This window comes from Homo sapiens, chromosome 4 (genome assembly GCF_000001405.40).
Source record: "Homo sapiens chromosome 4, GRCh38.p14 Primary Assembly".
Lineage (NCBI taxonomy): Eukaryota > Metazoa > Chordata > Mammalia > Primates > Hominidae > Homo > Homo sapiens.
Window position 1 is genome coordinate 109,750,203 of NC_000004.12, and position 20,215 is coordinate 109,770,417.

A 20,215-nucleotide genomic window follows, 5' to 3' on the forward strand; every position below is an offset into this window, starting at 1 on the left:
GCCAGGCTGGTCTCGAACTCCTGACCTAATGTGATCTGCCCACCTCAGCCTCCCAAAGTGCTGAGATTACAGGGTGAACCACCACGCCCAGCCATAGTTTTTATTTTCTAGAGGCTGTTTATATGGAACTCTTATATTAATATCAATGTTAACATAGTGATACTCTTATTAAGTACTTTCTATATGTCAGGCCCCATACTGAGTCTTTGTATATAGTTTATCTCATTTAATCATCCTATTAACCCTGAGAGATGATGTGCCAGTGACCCCGGGACAAGTGGGTTAGCGGGCTGGGGAGTGTTTTTTAGCCATTTGACATGTGACAATGTTTCCTTCCTCTGTCTGTGAGCATGCAGACGTCTGGCGCATTTGTCATGAGAAAACACGGTAGAGCAAAGTTTATGACCTGAATTTTCCAAAGAATTTATGATGACTGAAGAAAGTAAAATATATCCCTTTATTTCCTCTCTATATTTTAACATGTCATGAAAATTTTTGTAAACTTGCTTCTTAGCCCCAGATGAGAAAGGAAAATGAATATTGCTGTTAATAATTTTGGGCATACCGAAAGGAGTTAGGCCCCCAAGAAAGAGCCGTTGTTGTATGGAGGCTAAAGCAACTTCATCTTGGATACTAATCTGCCATGTTAGCTTCTGATTAACCCCAATTCCGGGAAGGCCTCTGAGATTTCCAGTTTATCTATTATTCCTTGTATAAGAGCATGTACTTACTATAAATCCTGGCCTTATGGCAAATTCCTACCCATTAGCTCTGAAGCCTGTGTGCCCCTCCCCTACAGTATATAATCTCTGAGTCGGGAGAGAACTAGCACAAGGATCCACCATCTTGTCTCACTGTTGTCCAGGACACAGACCTGGCTTCCATTAGTAAGTCCCTATTAAATGTTTCTTTCTAAGGAACTGGACATGTCAGCCTCTTTGTTTGGCCTCTCAGCTTCCTTAGACTTTGGGGGCTGATTTGTGTGAACCTGCCCACTGTGAAACACATGGATAGAAGATGGTTTTTTTTGGTCTCACCCATCCTAAGAACTGGGGTGGGGGAAGAGTGTGATGGTAAGTTTTTGCTTACACTTTTGAAGGAAGAGGGATCTCATGCTCTGAGGACTGTGAAACCAACTTAGGTAGTATCTGAAAATGAATGTTATTCTGAGTAAAAATAAAGGGCCATTGTTGAAAATGCCTTTTGACTAACATCTATAGCTTCGAGAGCTAAATCTTTTTTTTTTTTTTTTTTTTTGAGATGGAGTCTCACTCTGTTGCCCAGGCTGGAGGGCAGTGGCACAATCTTGGTTCACTGCAACCTCCACCTCCCGGGTTCAAGCGATTCTCCTGCCTCAGCCTCCTGAGCACCTGGGATTACAGGCACCTGCTACCATGTCTGGCTAATTTTTATATTTTTGTAGAGATGGGGTTTCACCATGTTGGCCAGGCTGGTCTTGAACTCCTGACCTGAAGTAATCCGCCTGCTTTGGCCTCCCAAAGTGCTGGGATTACAGGCCTGAGCCACTGTGCCCAGCCTTAAATCTTTTACTCATTGCCTGATTTTTAAAGATTGTTACTTAATTTTGGTTACTGACAATTAGAAAGAAGTCTACATGAACTTCATTTAAAAATCCCACTGAAACAGGGAGCTATTTTATTCCCAATTTGTATTTGAGGTTGAGTTACTCTCTTAAGTTTTTATAGCTAATACATAACTGAGTCAGAATTTAACGTAAGTCTGTCTGACTAGAAATCTCTAATCAATTGCTATCTTCCCAGGAACTTAATACTTTAATTTAATTTGGCTTTTAGCGCACAACTGGCCAAGGTACAGATCTTCAAAGGTCTCCTATTACCGTGATTTAAAACATTGTGAAAGAATGGTTAATTCAATTAACATCTATTATTTTTTCTATTTCAAAAAATTATGTCATGAGTCATGCTTGAGAGCTGCTTGTTTTTTCACAAAACTGACCTGACAAAGTTCGTTTTAAATAGAAAAAGCTTATGTATGATTGGAGTATTGTTTTCATTTCAAAATTAGCCATATGAATTAATCCAGTTTTAAAAGCAATTCTCAAGAATCATTTAAGCTTGCTTTTCTTAAAAGTGACAGAGAAAGGAGAATAATAATGTTATATTTTTTAATTTAAATTGATACCAAAACTACTTGTTGCTTGAATCAATTATATATATGCAAATGACACTGAAATTACAGCCTAAACCAGTGAGCCACCAATAAAAAAGTATAACGTTAGCTTACCTGCATCCATGTCAGCAGTCAAAATTTCTGTTTCTTCTATGATAAAACAAAAGATTCCAATGTTTAAAGTTGTTAATTATAGTCAAAATGAAATCATTAAAATCATTTAAACACTGATTATAATTTTCTGCCTTAAAACTTATCCTCCCTTTTATAAAGAACTGTACAAAATCCCCAAGGCATGTCATCTTATTTCCTTTCTATAATTAGGTAATTGTAAAGGCTCAAGATGCACTGTATAGAAATTCTTGCTGGCACAAACTAGAGATATCTGTTGGTACTAGTGAATGTTGAGACTCATGGTGTCACAGTTTCCAGTAGTTAGAGCACGCAAAATGCACAGCCCAGAAGAGGAAGGCTTCTATTTCAACTCTCTGCATCCCCAGGGTGTTTTGTATATATATATAAAATATTATATAATATATATTTATTATATAAATAAATATTTATAATATATATTTATTATATAAATAAATATTTATAATACATATTTATTATATATTTATTATATGAATAAATATTTATAATATATATTTATTATATATTTATTATATAAATAAATATTTATAATATATATTTATTATATATTTATATATAAATAAATATTTATAATATATATTTATTATATAAACAAATATTTATAATATATATTTATTATATAAATAAATATTTATAATATATATTTATTATATAAATAAATATTTATAATATATTTATTATATAAATAAATATTTATAATATATATTTATAATATATTTATAATATAAATAAATATTTATAATATATATTTATTATATAATAAATATTTATAATATATATTTATTATATAATAAATATTTATAATATATATTTATTATATAAATATTTATAATATATATTTATTATATAATAAATATTTATAATATATATTTATTATATAAATATTTATAATATATATTTATTATATAAATAAATATTTATAATATATTTATTATATAATAAATATTTATATATATATTTATATTAATAAATATTTATAATAAATATTTATAATATATTTATTATATAAATAAATATTTATAATAAATATTTATAATATATTTATTATATAAATAAATATTTATAATATATATTTATTATATAAATAAATATTTATAATATATATTTATTATATATTTATTATAATATGTATAATTTTATATTATATATTATATAATGTATAATTTTATATTATATATTATATAATGTATAATTTTATATTATATATTATATAATGTATAATTTTATATTATATATTATCTAATGTATAATTTTATATTATATATTATCTAATGTATAATTTTATATTATATATTATCTAATGTATAATTTTATATTATATATTATATAATGTATAATCTTATATTATATATTATATAATGTATAATTTTATATTATATATTATATAATGTATAATTTTATATTATATATTATCTAATGTATAATTTTATATTATATATTATATATTTGATATTTTTATCAAATATGTATTTTAAAATATATATATATATATTTTGAGACGGAGTCTCACTCTGTTGCCCAGACTGGAGTGCGGTGGCACGATCTCGGCTCACTGCAACATCCGCCTCCCAGGTTCAAGCGATTCTCCTGCCTCAGCCTCCCGAGTAGCTGGGATTACAGGTGTGCGTCACCATGCCCGGCTAATTTTTGTATTTTTAGTAGAAACAGGGTTTTACCATATTGGTCAGGCTGGTCTTGAACTCCTGACCTCGTGATCCACCCGCCTTGGCCTCCCAAAGTGCTGGAATTACAGGTGTGAGCTACTGTGCCTGGCCTCCCAAGGTGTTAACATAAGGTAGGGAGCAGTCATCAGCACTAGCCAAGGGAGTCCTGAGCTGACATGAAAAAGGCTCCTCTCAGTTTGTACAGGTATGGGTTAGCATTAGGCATCTGGGATGCAGAAGTTAAAAAAAAAAAAAAGAATCTTCTTTTTTTTTTTTAGATTTTTTTCTTGAAGTTATACCAGATGTTTTCATCTTTGCTCTGCCATTCTAGAACATTTCTGTGTTCTAGATTTCTTTGACCTGGGGATCTGAAGGTGAATTCCCACCAACATGTTGCTCTGTCATGGATGAGGATATGGCTGGGGATCACATAGCCCAGAATGGCAGCGTCACTTTGCTGCAATCCTGTGTCTTCTCACTGAATTTGCTAAGTTCTCTTTGGGACAGGCATATGAGTGTTTGTTATGCCACACACCTAAGTTGTTTTCTGGGGTAGAGAGAGGCTCTGCTCAGATGCATTCACAAAAGCACGCTTGTGAATCAGAGAAGACTCAAATATTCACATTCAATGCCCAACAAAGGAAGATGAGAAAGTCCAGTGTAGCTGAGGTGTACTAGGTATTAGAAGAACAGCACTAACTTGATTTAATATAATCAAAGCTGAGGTGTACTAGGTATTAGAAGAACAGCTAGTACACCTTTGATTATATAAAAATTATGGATTTCTATTCAACAAATCTCACATGGATAGAGTTCACAGATGAGAGACAGCATGGAAGAAGGTATCTGTAATGTTTAAAACTGACAATGGACTAATTTGTAGACTGTAAAAGGAACCCTTGCAAATCAGTAAGAAAGATTACAATGAAAGAAATATAAAATTGAGCAAAGGATGTGAACCAGTGAAAGAACAGAGAAAAGGAAGATGAAACTAAAAAGCTAGTATGCACATGAAGAGAAACTCAGAATCATTGGTTAATATAAAAATTGAAGTTAATAAACAATGCCATCACTTGACAGCTGGAGAAACACGCTTGATGTTGGTGGGGTTGAAGAAAACCCGCAGGCATTATTGGTGGAAGTAAGGACTGGTATATAACAGCACTGCCAAAGAACATACAGGCACTAGTAATCAAATTAAGGATATGCATACTCTAAGATTCAACTTGCTACTATGGTTTGAGTGTGTTCCCCAAAGTTCATGTGTTGGAAACTTAATCCCCAACACAACAGTGTTGGGAAGTGGGGCCTAATAAGAAGGGATTAGGTCATGAGGGCTCTTCCCTCATTAATAGATTAATGTCGTTATCTCAGGAGTGGGTTAGCTGTAGTGAGAGTGGGCTTGTTATATACAAAAGTGAGTTCGGACTCCTCTTGTTCCGTTGCTCTCTTGCCCTTCAACCTCCTGCCATGGGTGATGGAGCAAGAAAACCCTTGACAGATGTGGGACCTGCGACCTTGGACCTCACAACCTCCAAAACTGTAAGAAATAAATGTATTTTCTTCATAAATTACCCCGTCTGTGGTATTGTGTTATAGCAAGACAAAAGAAGACACTTGCCCAGCTAGATGCCTCGAAGAAATCCTCCCACACATACTTAAGGAGAGGATATTCATCACAGTATGATTGTGGGCTGAAAGTCCATTACTGAGAAAGTGGAGAGTAAATTGTGCAAGATAAACACAGTGGAGTATTTTATACAGCAGTTAGAAGCAACAAATTAGATGAACACACAGTAACATGGACAGGTCTTTAAAATGTAATGAGTTGTGAAAAGAAAAAAAGGAAATAGAGATCTACAACACAATACTATGTGAGTAAAAAATGTATGCTTGCAAAATAACAATACACATTGGATAAGAATGCATGCAAACAAAAAAACGTACATATTAAACCACTGAAAAATGGTTGCCTATTGGGGAAGAGGAATGGGAGTAAGGTATAGTGATAAAGAGGGATAAATGAGTCAAACAAGACAGGGGCCTTGCTTGACCCCTGATGATCATGTATAAGGAGCTGAGGAGTATCATTAACTCATCACTTTGCCTCTGAGATCTGAAACTAGGGAGGGAGGAGGAAGGAAAAGAGGAGGGAGGGAGGGAAAAAAGGAATAGAGAAGAAGCAGCAGGAGGAGGAGGAGGACGAGGGAAGAGATGGAAGAAGAAGGAGAAAAGAAGAAGAGAAAAGAGGAACAAGAAGAAGAGGAAGAAGGAGGAGGAGGAGGAAGAGGAGGAGGAGGAACAGCAGCTTCAGAGGGCAAAATGACAAGTGAGAGAATGCAATGAAATAATAGGCATTTAGAGCAAAGGGTGGTCTTGAGCTAGCCAGTCCCTCAGGAATCCTAAGAAATCCTGAGGAGGTGGCTCACGCCTGTAATCCCAGCACTTTGGGAGGCCGAGGCAGGTGGATCACGAGGGCAGGAGTTCAAGATCAGCCTGGCCAAGATGGTGAAACCCCATCTCCACTAAAAATACAAAAATTAGCCAGGTGTGGTGGCACGTGCCTGTAATCTCAGCTACTCGGGAGGTTGAGGCAGAGAATTGCTTAAACCCGGGAGGTGGAGGTTGCAGTGAGCCGAGATCAGGCCACTGCACTCCAGCCTGGGCTACAAGACCGAGTACAAGACCGAGACTCCGTCTCGAAAGAAAGAAAGAAAGGAAAGAAAGAAAGAAAGAAAGAAAGAAAGAAAGAAAGAAAGAAAGAAAGAAAGAAAGAAAGAAAGAAAGAAAGAAAGAAAGAAAGAAAGAAATTCTGAGGAGGATCATGAACTTTGACGTTATATGAACTGGGGATATGAGTCATTTTACATTTACATTTACATGACTCCAGCTCTGTCGCCCAGGCTGGAGTGCAGTGACGCGGTCTCGGCTCACTGCAAGCTCCGCCTCCCGGGTTCACGCCATTCTCCTGCCTCAGCCTCCCAAGTAGCTGGGACTATAGGCTCCCGCCACCACGCCAGGATAATTTTTTTTTTTTGTATTTTTAGTAGAGATGGGGTTTCACCGTGTTAGCCAGGATGGTCTCAATCTCCTGACCTCGTGATCCACCCGCCTTGGCATCCCAAAGTGCTGGGATTACAGGCTTAAGCCACCGCGCCCGGCAGTTTACATGAATATTTTTAAAAAGGGTGGTCCCAAAGAGCTAGAGCATTTGGGGACATCTGACTGATAGAAGTAAATAAGAAAATGCCTATCATGAAAAGATGTTATCTTTATTCAGGTGGCAATTTCTTGAGGAGCTACCTTGATTTTGAGAGAAAATGAAGAGAAAGGTATTCGGCAAAGGTGAAATGTGCAGGGAAGAGTCCACTCTGGATGGTGTTTTGGTCAGCAGGCTGTGGATGGGGTGTGTGAGAGTGAAAGTTTATCACACTGAGAAAAGGCCTCTACGCCTAAACTAATGTTCAGGCTGGGTTATTACTAAAATGTGGTCATATCATGCTCCATTAACAGTTACATTAAAATATAAGACCAAAGAACCTGAGTTTTGTTTCAATTTTTTAATATCCCCAAATTTTAATAAAAATTTTACCTTGAGTCACAGATGCAAAGCCTGAAGAAAACAAAAACAAAAAATTTATCAAAGGATAATTTTTGGAAAAAATGCACACTATAGCAATATACTATACATATATCATGAAAACCATTGCACCTTATTTCTGTTTTCTTCGGTAATATAATTTTTCTATTATAAAAATGATTTACCTTGAATTGTAGGATGTCTAGCTGCTAAAACAAAAAACAAAAAACTCACTATAGCAAAGAGATCATTTTGATTTGAATAAAATATGCACAAATTATTAAATTTCAGACTAGTACAACTTAATAGTTAGAAGCATTACTAAAATGCAAAGGCAGAGCTCATCCCTAAATAAGAGTAAACTGAAGTAACAATGATAGTTGGCTAAATGTGTTTTTGAAACAGATTTTAAAAAGATAAAAGGAGGTCAGGTGCAGTGGCTCATGCCTGTAATCCCAGCAACACGCCTTCTAAAGTGTTGGGATTACAGGCGTGAGCCACTGCACTTGGCTGGGGCAGGGATTTTTGAAATGTTATTCACTAATGGAACCCCACCACCTAGAGCAGGGACTGGCACACACAGTAGCAGCTGAATAAATATTCATCAAGTAAATGAATAAATATAACTTAAAGAGATTTTTCCTCCAGAAAGCACTGATGGAAGCAAAGAGTCAGTCTGTATAGTCTAGAATAGGTACATAAGGAATATTTTTCACCATTGGAGGTTATCCAGAGCACCAACTCATTGCTTTGAAACTTGGTAAGTAAAAGGAAAAAATGAAGCATTATTCTGCCTCTCTATAGATTTCTAGTTAATAAGTGCAATAGGCATGATAAAATTAGAAATTGCCATTTTACAGCCCTATTGACAAAATGGACATAGGCAACAATTTAAAAGGCTGCTAAAACCATTAGGCAAAAGATTGTGGGGCACTTTGAAATGGACACACCAAGCTGATCAAGTAATCATCTTAGCATCACTAGAGGAGGGACAACCAGACAAGAAGACATTATGTGTAACAGGAAATACATGCAAGACTCATCAAGAATTCTTGCCTAAGGCCGGGCACAGTGGCTCATGCCTGTAATGCCAGCACTTTGGGAGGCCGAGGCAGGCAGATCACTTGAGGCCAAGAGTTCGAGACGAGCCTGGCCAATGTGGCGAAACTCTGTCTCTTCTAAAAACAGAAAAATTAGCCAAGCGTGATGGCACATGCCTATAATCCCAGCTACTCAGGAGGCTGAGGTGGGAGAATCCCTTGAACCCAGGAGGCAGAGGTTGCAGTGAGCCTACATTGTGCCACTGCACTCTAGCCTAGGCAATAAAGCAAGACTCTGTCTCAAAAAAAGAAAATAAAAAGAATTCTTGCCTAAAATATTAAACCTTGCTCTTAAAAAAAAGTGTTCATTTGTCATTGACTCGAAGCTCAAAACCTTGGTTATAATCAAGTCTCTCTAAATCTAGAATAGACGTATACTATAGGCAAACGACTCAGTTTCTCTAAAAAAAAAAAAAATAATAATAGTATGAAAAAAATTGGGGTAGGGAGGTGGGGAAGATAACTCTTGATGAATAAAGAAGACTTTAAAAACGTAATAACCAAACAGAACATTCAGATTCTTTTAGATCCTGATTTGAATCTATTCATTCAAAAAAGACATTTTTGAGATAGTTGAGAAAATTTGAACATGGCTGTTATTAAATGACGTTAGTGAATTACTATTATAGTGAATTATTATATCTAACATAGATTTTAGATATACAAATGAGAGAATGAATGGTTTTATATATATATAGTGTTTTTATCACTGGAGATGCATATAAATGATGTGATATGATATCTAAAATTTACTTTAAAATACTGCAACAGGCCAGGTGTGGTGGCTTATGCCTGTAACCCCAGCACTTTGGGAGGCCAAGATCATCTGAGGTCAGGAGTTTGAGACCAGCCTGGCCAACATGGTGAAACCCTGTCTCTACTAAAATACAAAAATTAGCCAGGCATGGTGGCAGGTGCCTGTAATCCCAGCTACTTGGGAGGCTGAGGCAGGAGAATCACTTGAACTCAGGAGGTTGAGGTTGCAATGAGCCAAGATTGTGCCACAGCACTCCAGCCTGGGCAACAGAGCAAGACTTCATCACAAAAAAAGTAATAGTAAATAAAATAAAATACTCCAACAAACATACAAACAAACAAACTGGAAGAGAGATAAGCAAGATTGGCAAACTATCAATAACTTGCAGGTGGAAAATGGGTACTTAAGGATTGGTTCTAATGGTCTATTTTTTGTATGTGCAGTGAGACCGTCTTTTAATAGAAAGTTCTGAAATAACAAGTAGATATTTAGCGGATGAAAATATGAGGAGATGAACATTCCATAGTTCTGCAAATGCCCACTCAGTGTTCTTACTGCTACACCCATCTATGTTCCCCTTAAGATTATACTTTACCTAAAGAAAAGTTTCAGAATCCCTGGATTCAATAATGAAAAAAAGTCACCCCAAGTCTTTCAATTACCTGCACAGCCAACTTCATCTTCCCCTGTAATGCAGTCCACCTCACCATTGCATTGATACTGGCTTGGAATGCAAACACCCGATTTGCAATGGAAGCCTTTGCCTTGGCATGCTGTGCAAACATAAGCAGGAGAGGTTTTTTTCATTCCTTAAAGTTGAATGAGGTACAATATAAAATTCAATAGTAAAGTTGCTTTTCCTCTTTTAGTCAGAAAAATGAATTTAGAGGATTTAGAGGCTAGATTTATGTCTACCTTTACAACACAGTTCATCACTTTGGTCTCCACAATCATTGATACCATCACAGGCTTTCATCTGAGAAATGTATTTCCCATTCACACACTGAAAGAAGTCATCCATTGGAGAATCTGTAAAGCAGGAATTATCTTTGTGAAATTTATTTATGGAGTGGTGGCATGACATCCTTATCAGATTTTTGGGATAATGGAGTCATTAAGAGAAAGTTAAACTTCAAAAAAATGTATAAAACGTATTGGTATTATCAACATAGTACATATGACTCATACAGAAAATAAAGGTCAAACCTGGCTTATGGAGGCTCTTCTATTATCTCTGAAAGTCAGTATTAATTGTGAAAGTCTATATTTGCTGAGATGGGGAGGAATCAAGAGTACGTGCTGACATTGACAAACACTGGTTTCCACCCATTTCTTTCATGCTGCTATACTCATCCTCACCCCTACTCCCAAGACTTGCTTGGTTAGTGCCATTTGTTTACATTTTGGTGGTACTTTTTTTTAGCACTGAAAAGGAGTGGGTATAGGTTTGGTCTTTAAAACTACATGTATGACTAAAATATTCCAGTGTCAGGAAGGAGGAGAAAAGTCTCAATGAATGCCTGAAAACTGAGGCACCAATGTGGTCACTTAAAGGTTTTAAATAAATTCATATATGCTGGCCCTCTTAAAGGAGATGCTGAGCTTTCTTCTTATGTTTGATTGACTTGTGTTTGCTACAGTAACTTTAATCCAGATGTTCAAATGAAGCAAGGGGAGTCAGGCAACTTTGCTTCCCATATGTGAACCTGTAGAGAGGCAATGTTTGAATGGCAAAATGGTACAATAGGGGAAAGGTACCAATTTAGACTCTAAAGCCCAAAACTTGACAGAATCTATATTATTGCCTCTGTGACTGGCAACGAGGCATCAATCATTTGTTTACTATAGGCTTGGTGTAAAATAAACAACCTTCAAGGAAGGGAAAATAACAGGCAAATACTCCACCAACCTGCTTTCTGTGTATAACAAACCACATCAGCGAAATCCTGGTAACCCATAGTTCTTCTCTTAGTAAAAGTACATTCAGCCAAACTGGTCTCTAATCCTCGGCAATGCACATGTAGACATTCAGTGGAATTTATAGAGAGATCAGACAACTTAAACCTTCTTTGAGTATCAGCACCTCTGCAAATAGAATAAAGGAAACATTATGGTAGAATAATTAGTACTTTGCATTTATAACCCTACTGTAGCAGGTAAGAAACTAGAGTAATGTCCTCTCATTCTCTATATAGGAGTTACAGCTTGGGCAAGATACCGAAACTCTGAGCCTCAGTACCTTCATCTATAAAAGGGAATATAACTACCTCACTGGGTTTTGTAAAGATTAACTAAAACTTGGCTGGGGGTGGTGGCTCACGCCTGTAATCCCAGCACTTTGGGAGGCCAAGGAGGGTGGATTACCTGAGGTCAAGAGTTCGAGACCAGCCTGGCCAATATGGTGAAAATCCTATCTCTACCAAAAATACAAAAATTAGCTGGGTGTGGTGGCCTACACCTGTAGTCTCAGCTATTCGGGAGGCTGAGGCAGGAGAATCACTTGAACCCAGGAGGTGGAGGTTGCAATGAGCTGAGATCGTGCCACTGCACTCCAGCCTGGGCAACAGAGTGAGACTCTGTCTAAAAAAAAAAAAAAAAAAAATTTCCATCTTTTCCTTTTGGGAATCTCTCTGCCTGCCCCATGCTGTAAACTTTAGCTGGTTGGTTCAATTATTGCCTAAGACTTGGAAGGTTAGGTTAGTTTAATTCCTGTAGGTCAATTTTGCTTTTACAGTAAGCTACATCTTCACTTCAGCCTTGACAGTATTAAGGTGATATTTTGGCATCTGTGTGCCATTGCTTGGACTTCTCAATTTGCTCAGAATTTGTGAGAAGAGACTTCCTCAGTGACGTATTATCCTAGAGATGATGATTTACAGTGAACTATTCTTCTAGGACATTCAATTGTTCCTTGCTTCTCTCTAGAAGTAAATGGGGAAAATAGGTTAAAAATAAAAAATTGAGCAAAGATGCATCAGGTAAATGGAAACAAAAATAGAACAGTAATGACAATATAAATATTAGACTAACTAGGATAAAAAGCAAAAATAAAACAAGGTGAAGCCAAGATTTGTAATTATTTCAGATCATGAGGCTGTGCCATGAGAACAAACAAGAGCCATTTGAGGCAATCTTATAGGTTAATAATCTGAAAAACGTACCAACCTAAAAATATCTAAAAATACTATATAAAATGCCATCTTCTTCCTCAATGAGTTCTTAAGGAAGTAAGGGAAATCTGCACTGGTTAAAATTAGAGATGTCTGTTCATGAGCTTATGCAAAATATAAGAGCAAAATACTGAGAAATAAAATACTGAGAGAATCTACCAGTAGGTTGAACCATAAGTTGTAGGTAACAAACTGCTGAAACTCAGAAATAGCCTATGGCTTAATTTAACAATATAAGAGACTCTCACTAATGAACTACTAGCAGATGTGGTTTAAGAAGAAGAAAATTGAATTCAGAAAGAAGGGGTGAGATACAAGAAAGAACAAACCAAGAAGTTGGTAAACATGAAGTAAATCTGAGTAAGCATTGCCTTAATAGTAGTGATAATGGCTTATTATATCATCATAGTGATTAACTTCTGGGATATAGAAAAATAAGGTGGAACTAAATATTAGAAACTTGATGGGTTAATTACATTTTTTTCTATTATTACTGAAGGTGAGGACTTCCTAAATCAATGATTTATGGTATAAGTTCAAAGGTAACTAAAGAAGTAGAAATATAATGCATAATTTTCAAACCAACTAGAGGTGGAAAAGAGGAAAGATTTTTAAAAATCTTTAATTTAGTAGAAATTATAAAAGGAAAAAGGACAAAAGCACACAAAAAGCAGGGTAAATAATAAGCCTAAAAACAAGAGGAAAAATAAATTCAACAATGTAAGTAAGTATAATAAGGTAAATGGACTAAACTCTTTAGTTAACAGTGATTGTAATATTGAATTAAAACAAATCTAGATATGTGCTGTTTATAAGGAACATGCTTAAAATCTAAAGATATAGGAAGACTGAAAGTAAAGAAATAGAGAAAGATCTAAACAGAGCAGCTAATTCTATTAATAATGAGTAACATATCTATTATCTAGAACCCTGCACGTGGAGCATTTGAAAAATACTCAGCCACAAAGCAAGTCTCAACAAATATTTGAAAAAATTGTTATCATACAGGGATATTCTCTAACCACACAGAATAAGAAAATCAATAACACAAAGTTAACCAAAAGCAAACTAACGTATTAATTAAAACTAATATTATAATAAAGAAAACTTCTAAATTACATATGGGGCAAAGAAGAAATTATATTGAAAGTTAGAAGATATTCTGAACCAAACAATAAATAAAATATCACTTATATATAAGTATATATACTATAATTATAGTATATAAGCTATATATAAATTATAGTTTGTACACTATACTCATAGTATATATACTTATATACTATAATTATAGTAAACTATACTATAAAACTATAAACTATAATTTATCCTAACTATATAGTTTATACTATAACTGTATAGTTTATACTCACTGTATAGTTTATAGTATAAACTATATTATATAACTATAAACTATACTCACACACAGTATATAAACTATACTAAGTGTGAAAAAGTGTACATAATTGTAGACGAGTAGGAGACAGACAGAAATGAATGTGTTTGTGACTCTCAGAATCACTAAAGGATTCACATCCAGATACTTCAACAGACTTATTATCCATGCTTTGTTGTCAGCAGGGTTCCAAGTGTTGGGTAAACATGAATGCATATCATCCTCATAACAATGCTATGATGCACATAGTTAATTTTCTTAGGTTACACATATGGAAATTAATACACAGAAAGGTTAGGTAATCAAAAAGCAAACAGAACAATTAAATCAGCCATGAGAAAATCCACTGATACAAGCGCTCACTGTTGAAACCCAAGGTCAAGGCAGGCCACGTTGGCTTCCCTCATGCTCCAGCTGCTTTTGCATATGAACATTGTCTTATCTTGGTCCACAAGTTTTACTTCAACTATTCCCTCTGAATCTGTATTTCCATGCTTCAAGGAAACACTAAACTTTCCTAAAATAAAAAAACAAAATAATGTGCAATATGTAGCCATTCACTTTTTTCTCTTAATTAAAAGTCTTTAAAAATAATAATGTACTTAATGTCAAGTGAGCTTTGAACATCATGACGATTTTAACAAGTAATAGTAAGCAATCATTTTACGAGTATTTATTATGTGTCAGCGGCAGTGCTATTCAGCTGTATAGAGGATCATTAAATACTCACATCAACCCTATGAGGATAAAGCCTATTTATTCCCATTTTTACACAAGGAACCTCTAGGGGAAGTTAAGTTCCTGGCCCAAGTGATGAAGCCAGGATTTGGAACTTGCTCAGTTGATCTCACTCCAAAGTCCATGCTCTCAAAAGTAAGCCCAACCGTGAAAATGTAAAATGTAGAAAGGGTTTATGTATTCTCGTGTATTTAAGGCATTTAATGCCTCAAGAGAAGAAAAGTCTGACACTGATGAAATAACCTCCACTATTGCCTTCTGCCTTTCCAACAGGGATGATAGATGAGCTCAAACAGGGAGCTTTTCCCCTCCTTTTCCACAGTATCTCAACATCTTAACTCAGCATCTCAAAAACATACAGGCTGCTGTGAGCTGATATATGTCATGGTGCCTTTAAAAAGAATGTTTTAAGCATTCCTTAGGTAATGAAGTGTCTGTAATAACTTGCTATCAGAAGACAATGAACCTAAGCTTTGCTGTCAGACATAAAATGTAACAAGCACTTTCTGCATGCCAAGCACTGTGTGAAGAGCCCTGCATACATTGTTTTATTTAATTTTCACAAGAATTGTACAACTTAGAAACTTCACATTTTACAGATGAGGGAACTGGGGTCCAGTGAGGTCCAGCTTGTCAACAACCAAGGTGGGGTTTGGAGGGACTTGAAACTCAATTGGACTGACAGCGAAATCCCTAATCATAACTACCCACTAGTCTGAATGCTAGGGCCCCAGCCTCCTCAGCACATGAAGCACCTGGAAGGGACTGTAGACAAGATCTCTGGGTCTGACGTCTGGGTTTGCTAGGTTGGAGTATGTCCCAGGTCAGCAGTGGCTCAAGCGGCCCTTGGATATTTAGGAACAATGGGGTCAGGGCTGGGGGAGAGGGTTGGGGGGGACGGCTGTTGAAAGAAATTATTGGGGTAGGCCACGCATGGTGGCTCATGCCTGTAATCCCAGCACTTTGGGAGGCCGAGGCGGGCGGATCACAAGGTCAGGAGATCGAGACCATCCTGGCTAACACGGTGAAACTCCATCTCTACTAAAAACACAAAAAATTAGCTGGGCATGGTGGCAGGCACCTGTAGTCCCAGCTACTCAGGAGGCTGAGGCAGGAGAATGGCATGAACCCGGGAGGCAGAGGTTGGAATGAGCCAAGATCACACCACTGCACTCCAGCCTGGGCAACAGAGCCAGACTCCGTCTCAAAAAAACAAAACAAACAAAAACAGAAATTACTGGGGCCACAGGAGGACCTGAGGCCTGACTAGACTACATGTGAGTACCAACCTTACTGGAAGACTTTTCACTGGGTTCTGAACCAACTCAATGGCCCTGGGAATAATCCCTTTAACCAAGTAGAAGTGAGGGTGGGGACAATTCTAAAGGGCTGGGCAGCAGGGAGTGGCACCGGCACTGAAGGAAGGTCTGGACTCAGCATCCCACGCTCTGCACTCAAAGGCTGGCTGGATTCTGGCAACCCCTGATTTGTTTAGTGATTACTCCAATTATTATTGAGAGTCTAGAAAAAAATTTTGAGTTGTCATCATAACATACACAAGAGAATTATTTTCTGATAGAAAGTATGGCATACAAATACCCTTTTATATCATAGAATGACTTGAAAACTAGTCTCTTGCTACCTTCGGCTGTGCATGTTCCGTTATTTAAAAACTTTGTCCCTGGATGAAGACATTCCAAACTCTTTTGTTGACAGTATGTTGGGAAGCTTCTCCTGTTAGTTGCACACACTGCAGTGCCATTCTTTGGGCACTGATACGGTAGTTTACAAACACAGGTGCCCTCAATGCATCTCTGCCATGGCTGGCAGAAGACTTTATCGCAGGAGAGGTGAGTATATTTTTTTGCTAAGCACTTTTTCTCCACCAGATCCTCTTGAGATGTATAAGTGACCTGTAAAATGCAAAATAAACATTAACTTAGCAACAAATTAAAGACTCCTGTTTGAAGATGAGTAAGTGAAGGAAAAGAGCAAAACAGATACAGCCCACAGTACAGATGAGGATGGTGTTGTCTGGTGGCTTCAAGAATCAGAAATAATGCCGCATATCTACAACCATCTGATCTTTGACAAACTTGACAAAAACAAGAAATGGGGAAAGGATTCCCTATTTGATAAATGGTGCTGGGAAAACTGGCTAGACATATGGAGAAAGCTGAAACTGGATCCCTTCCTTACACCTTATACAGAAATTAATTCAAGATGGATTAAAGACTTACATGTTAGACCTAAAACCATAAAAACCCTAGAAGAAAACCTAGGCAATACCATTCAGGACATAGGCATGGGCAAGGACTTCATGTCTAAAATACCAAAAGCAATGGCAACAAAAGCCAAAATTGACAAATGGGATCTAATTAAACTAAAGAGCTTCTGCACAGCAAAAGAAACCACCATCAGAGTGAATAGGCAACCCACAGAATGGGAGAAAATTTTTGCAATCTACTCATCTGACAAAGGGCTAATATCCAGAATCTACAATGAACTCAAACAAATTTACAAGAAAAAAACAAACAACCCCATCAAAAAGTGGGCAAAGGATATGAACAGACATTTCTCAAAAGAAGACATTTATGCAGCCAAAAGACACATGAAAAAATGCTCATCATCACTGGCCATCAGAGAAATGCAAATCAAAACCACAATGAGATACCATCTCACACCAGTTAGAATGGCGATCATTAAAAAGTCGGGAAATAACAGGTGCTGGAGAGGATGTGGAGCAATAGGAACACTTTTACACTGTTGGTGGGACTGTAAACTAGTTCAACCATTGTGGAAGTCAGTGTGGCGATTCCTCAGGGATCTAGAACTAGAAATACCATTTGACCCAGCCATCCCATTACTGGGCATATACCCAAAGGATTATAAATCATGCTGCTATAAAGACACATGCACACGTATGTTTATTGCGGCACTATTCACAATAGCAAAGACTTGGAACCAACCCAAATGTCCATCAATGATAGACCAGATTAAGAAAATGTGGCATATATACACCATGGAATACTATGCAGCCATAAAAAATGATGAGTTCATGTCCTTTGTAGGGACATGGATGAAGCTGGAAACCATCATTCTCAGCAAACTATTGCAAGGACAAAAAACCAAACACCACATCGTCTCACTCATAGGTGGGAATTGAACAATGAGAACACATGGACACAGGAAGGGGAACATCACACACTGGGGCCTGTTGTGGGGTGGGGGGAGGGGGGAAGGATAGCATTTGGAGATATACCTAATGTTAAATGACGAGTTACTGGGTGCAGCACACCAACATGGCACGTGTATGCATATGTAACTAACCTGCACATTGTGCACATGCACCTAAAACTTAAAGTACAAAAAAAAAAAAAAAAAAGAATGGTATGACTGCCATCTTGACCATGAAGAAATCCTAAAAAAAAAAAAAAAAAAAGAAAAAAAGAATCAGACAAACCTGGCTTCTAGACCCAGTTTTGGCACTTACTGTTACATGATGCAGGGCAAGTGACCCTCCTGAAACGTGAATTTCCTCATCGTAAAATGAGATAATATCTCCTATTTTGCAAGATTAGAAATACTATGTTTGTAATGGTTGACAGGTACTAGGCATAAAATTAATGAGAGCTATTATTACCCTGCAGGACTCCAGTAGAAATAATATGAGGGCTGGGAACAGGCCAATTGGGCCAAAAGCCAATCTGCGAAGAAAAGCCAATGCTGTCTCCCTGTCCCCCAGAGCTTCCTCCTGAGGATGCGCCTCCTGTCCTCTAGTCTCCCCTGCTGCCCGCAGTGAGCCCCGCTCCTTCCTCAGTGCCCTGTAGCTGTGAAGCATCAAGCTGGGGCAGACAAAAATCATAGTCTTTAAATGCCGTTAAGAAGGCAAATAAGCTAATTAAAACCATGCAAAACCTTGCAAGGATTGTCAAAGTCATTCTCCATAATTTGCTTTTCAATAAACTGTACAAATAGCTTTACACACACACACACACAAATGACAAATTGGTCATTCTGGAAACTGGCTTTTGACACAGTGATCTAGAATGAAATATGCCAGTTACGCACTTTTCATGGTTCCACGTATCTCTTTTTGGCACTTATTAGAGTTGGAATTTTTGTAATAATTTCTCTCCTGTATCTTCCACTGACCAGCTTGCAAGTGTCCTGACAGCAGGTTTTATTTATCACCTTTATATTGAAACAATGATGCTCTCATTGGATGAGAAATCCAAGCAACTTGATTTTTTTCTACCTTTATTCCTTTAAATCATTTCTGAAATCTCATTCCTCCTTGATCTTTGGATAGAAACTTTGGCAAGTGTCATAACTTTCTCAGTCACTCTTAGATTTAAACAAAAACAAAAAATTAAAGGATGTTTAGTTCCAGGAATAGTCACTAAATAGCAATGACAATGTCTAGTGCTGTGGAACCACTGAAGCTCTGACCTTCATGTCAGATGAAAGCCTCTCCTTCCTCTCAGCTCAGACTTGCTTCCAGGGTGTGTGATGGGTCCTTTCTGAGCTCTCCTCCATTCCACAGCTTTCAGGTCATGCTTTCCACCTCTCAGGAGAGGAAGAGAGGGACAGCAGCCGGGTCTCACCTGATTCTTACGGCTGAGAACTAGCCTTGGCAAGGTGGGGGTTAGAGCCAACTCTCTCATGCGGGGTACTATGAGGTTCTCTAGAGATTGCACTACTGGGGACATTTGATGTCAATTCACTCAATGCTGGCAGTACCTCTCCTCCAGCTGGCTGCTCATGGTCCATGTCTTCTCAGCTCCAGTATCCAACAGTACTAGCCCGTTTCTGCTGAGGTTGCTTACCTTTGGCAGGGAGCCTCTTGGGCAGGAGTCCTGTTTCCCTCCTGAGGACCCACACCTGTCTGTTGCCTGCCCTGCTGCCTACCATTGAAACAGGGCTTGCTCCAACACAGCCACCTCTTTTATCTCTGCCACCAGGCACCTCCAGCCTTGGGTCCTTATTCCTTTCAGGTATGGGTCAAGTACTAGTTCTTTTTTCTCCTCAGACTTCAGGGAACACATGTCAAGCACTCCAAGGGAACCTGTGGGAAGCCCTTTCACAATGAAGAGAAGCGGCAGCACCTTCCATCCTCTTTGCCTGGGGTGCAGGTGGGAGATGGAAGGGAAAACGCTACCTCACTCTGTTACATAAAATTACGGGAAGCCATTTTTTTAAACTGTACTCCTGCACCAAGCCCCAAAGACCAAACCAAAATGGAGTCACTTATGCTAAGTGGCATGTAATTAAACTGAAACTTTAAGGAAATGGGAAACCACACATTGGTGAGTTGAGGCTGGAATGGGAGGTGAGGAAGTGGAAGTAGAAGCTTGACTGGTTTTGACTAGGCACAGTGGCTCACGCCTGTAATCCCAGCACTTTGGGAGGCTGAGGTGGGAGGATCAGTTGAGGTCGGGAGTTTGAGACCAACCTGGCTAACATGGCAAAACCCCATCTCTACTAAAAATACAAAAATTAGCCA

At 37.5% G+C, this 20,215-nt stretch overlaps 1 protein-coding gene across 20 annotated transcripts in view; it reads right to left on the bottom strand.

Moving 5' to 3' along the window:
• The window catches only part of CFI (complement factor I), a 71,018-nt gene that overhangs the window by 19,221 nt on the left and 31,582 nt on the right, over positions 1 to 20,215 (bottom strand). For 6 of the 20 annotated variants that reach the window (NR_164672.1, NM_001440988.1, NM_001375278.1 and 3 more), the window contains exons 2-9: positions 16,352 to 16,622; positions 14,335 to 14,488; positions 11,315 to 11,490; positions 10,321 to 10,434; positions 10,068 to 10,178; positions 7,734 to 7,757; positions 7,561 to 7,581; positions 2,266 to 2,301 (exon numbers count right to left, since the gene is read on the bottom strand). Coding sequence is in view for 17 of the 20 variants with exons in the window: in NM_001440988.1 (NP_001427917.1) it covers positions 2,266 to 2,301; positions 7,561 to 7,581; positions 7,734 to 7,757; positions 10,068 to 10,178; positions 10,321 to 10,434; positions 11,315 to 11,490; positions 14,335 to 14,488; positions 16,352 to 16,622 (907 nt within the window). In the remaining 3 variants the exon portion in view is untranslated. The remainder of the gene's footprint in view (positions 1 to 2,265; positions 2,302 to 7,560; positions 7,582 to 7,733; positions 7,758 to 10,067; positions 10,179 to 10,320; positions 10,435 to 11,314; positions 11,491 to 14,334; positions 14,489 to 16,351; positions 16,623 to 20,215) is intronic. The other 14 variants (NR_164673.1, NR_164671.1, NM_001375281.1 and 11 more) reach the window with 5 other exon arrangements.